Genomic DNA, 3328 nt, shown 5'->3' with positions numbered 1-3328 from the left:
GATCAAATTCACACACAACAATATTAACTTTAAAGGTAAATGGGCTAAATGTTCCAATTAAAAGACACAGACTGGCAAATTGCATAAAGAGTCAAGGCCCATCAGTGTGCTGTATTCAGGAAACCCATCTCAGGTGCAGAGACACACATAGGCTCAAAATAAAGGGATGGAGGAAGATCTACCAAACAAATGGAAAACAAAAAAGGCAGGGGTTGCAAACCTAGTCTCTGATAAAACAGACTTTAAATCAACAAAGATCAAACTAGACAAAGAAAGCCATTACATAATGGTAAAGGGATCAAAGCAACAAGAAGATCTAACTATCTTAAATATATATGCATCCAATACAGGAGAACGCAGATTCATAAAGCAAGTCCTTAGAGACCTACAAAGAGACTTAGACTCCCAAACAATAATAATGGCAGACTTTAACACCCCACTGTAAACAGTCTTTTTGTGGAATCTGCAAATGGATATTTGGAGTGCTTTGAGGCCTATGGTGGAAAAGGAATTATCTTCACATAAAAACTAGACAGACGCATTCTGAGAAAATTCTTTGTGATGTGTGTATTCATCTCACAAAGTTACCTTTTTTTGATTGAGCAGTTTGGAAATAGTCTTTTTGTAGAATCTCCACAGGGATATTTGTGAGCCCTTTATATCCTAAGGTGAAATAGGAAATATCTTCACATAAAAACTAGACAGAAGCTTTCTTAGAAACTTCTTTGTGATGTATCATTTCATTTCACAGAGTTGAAACTTTGTTTTGATTGAGCAGTTTGGAAACAGTCTTTTCTTAGAATCTGCACAGGGATATTTGTGATCCCTTTATGGTCTATGGTGAAATACATAATATCTTCACATAAAATTGAGACAGAAACTTTCTGAGAAACTTCTTTTTAATGTATGCTTTCGTCTCACAGAGTTGAACCTTTCTTTTGATTGAGCAGTTTGGAAACAGTCTTTTTGTAGAATCTGCAAATGGATATATGGAGCACTTTAAGGCCTATTGGGAAAAGGGAAATATCTTCACATAAAAACTAAACAGAAGCTTTCTGAGAATCTTCTTTGTGATGTATGTTTTCATCTCACAGAGTTGAACGCTTCTTTTGAATGAACAGTTTGGAAGCACTCTTTTTGTAGAATCCACAAATGGATATTTGGAGTGCTTTGAGGCCTATAGTGAAAAAGAAAACATCTTCACATAAAAACTGAACAGAAGCTTTCTAAGAAACTTACATGTGATGCCTGCATTCATCTCACAGAATTGAAACTTTCCTTTGATTGAGCACTTTGCAAACAGCCTGCTTGTACAATCTGCAGATGGATATTTCCGAGCCATTTGAGGGCTATGGTGAAAAAGAAATAGCTATACATATAAACAAGACAGAAGCATTCTGAGGAACTTCTTTGTGATATGTGTATTCATCTCACAGAGTTGAAACTTTCTTCTGATTGAGCAGTTTGGAAACACACTTTTTGTAGAATCTGCAAGTGGTTAATTGGAACGCTTTGAAGCCTATGGTGGAAAAGGAAATATCTTCACATGAAAACTAGGCAGAAACATTATGAGAAACTTCTTTGTGATGTGTGCATTCATCTCACAAAGTTGAACTTTTCTTTTGATTGAGCAGTTTGGAAACAGTCTTTTTGTAGAATCTCCACAGGGACATTTGAGAGTCCCTTATGGCCTATTGTGAAATAGAAAATATCTTCACATAAAAACTAGACAGAAGCATTCTGAGAAACTTCTTTGTGATGCCTGTATTCATCTCACAGAATTGAACCTTTCTTTTGATGGAGCACTTTGGAAACAGTCTTTTTGTAGTATCTGTAGAGGGATATTTGTGACCGGTTAAAGGCCTATGGTGAAAAAGGAAATATCTTCCCATAAAAATTAAACAGAAGGTTTCTGAGAAGGATCTTTGTGATGTGTGTACTCATCTCACAGAGTTTAAACTTTCTCTTGATTCAGCAATTTGGAAACAGTTTTTTCATAGAATCTGCACAGGGATATTTGAGAGCCCTTTATGCCCTAAGGTGAAATAGGAAATATCTTCACATAAAAACTAGACAGAAGCTTTCTGAGACTCTTCTTTGAAATGTATCCATTCATCTCACAGAGTTGAACCTTTCTTTCAATTGAGCAGGTTGGAAATACCCTTTTTGTAGAATCTGCAAATGGATATTTGGAGCGCTTTGAGGCCTTTGGTGAAAAAGGAAATATCTTCACATAAAAACTAAATAGAAGCTTTCTGGGAAACTTATTTGTGATGTGTGCATTCATGTCACAGATTTGAAATTTTCTTTTGATTGAGCACTTTGGAAACATTCTTTTCATAGAATCTGCACAGGGATATTTGTAAGCCCATTATGGCATATGGTGAAATAGGTAATATCTTCACATAAAAACGAGAAAGAAGTTTTCTGAGAAGCTTCTTTTTAATGTATGCTTTCATCTCACAGAGTTGAACATTTCTTTTGATTCACCCGTTTCGTTTGGAAACAGTCTTTTTGTAGAATCTGCAAATGGATATTTGGAGTGCTTTGGCTCCTATGGCATAAAAGGAAATATCTACATATAAAATCTAGACAGAAGTATTCTGCGAAACTTCTTGGGATGTGTGCATTCATCCCAAAGAGGTGAACATTTATTTTGACTGAGCAGTTTGGAAACAGTCTTCTCGTAGAATCTGCACAGTGATTTTTTTGAGCCATTTATGGCCTATGGTGAAATAGGAAATACCTTCACATAAAAACTAGACAGAAGCTTTCTGAGAAAATTCTTTAGGATGTGTGCATTCATCTCACAGAGTTGAACTTTTCTTTCAATTGAGCAGTGTCAAAACAGTCTTTTTGAACACTCTGCAAAGGGATATATCCGAGCCATTTGATGCCTATGGTGATAAAGAAATATCTTCACATTAAAAGTAGACAGAAGCATTCTGATGAACTTTTTTGTAATGTGTGTGTTCATCTCAGTGATTTGAACCTTTCTTTCAATTGAGCAGTCTGGAAACAGCCTTTTTGTATAATGTGCAAAGGGATATTTGTGAGCACATTTTGGCCTATGGTTAAATAGAAAATATCTTCACATAAAAACGAGACAGAAGCTTTCTCAGAATCTGCTTTGTAAGGTATGCTTTCATCTCAGAGTTGAACTTTTCTTTTGATTGAGCACTTTGGAAATAGTCTTTTTGTAGAATTAGCAAATGGATATTTGGAATGCTTTGAGGCCAATTGCGAAAAAGGAAATATCTTCACATAAAAACTGGACAGAAGCATTCTGAGAAACTACTTTGTGATGTGTGCAGTCATCTCACAGAGT

At 35.6% G+C, this 3328-nt stretch overlaps 1 annotated feature.

The window, feature by feature from the left end:
• Positions 263-849: an enhancer, noted in NCBI's record as "OCT4-NANOG hESC enhancer chr19:27836954-27837540 (GRCh37/hg19 assembly coordinates)". NCBI's record gives its function as "activates a minimal SCP1, AML or CMV promoter by ChIP-STARR-seq in naive H9 embryonic stem cells {active_cell/tissue: H9 hESC(naive)}" and the evidence as "EXISTENCE:reporter gene assay evidence [ECO:0000049][PMID:30033119]".

Source organism: Homo sapiens, chromosome 19 (genome assembly GCF_000001405.40).
Source record: "Homo sapiens chromosome 19, GRCh38.p14 Primary Assembly".
NCBI lineage: Eukaryota > Metazoa > Chordata > Mammalia > Primates > Hominidae > Homo > Homo sapiens.
This window is presented reverse-complemented; position numbering and strand designations above follow the sequence as displayed.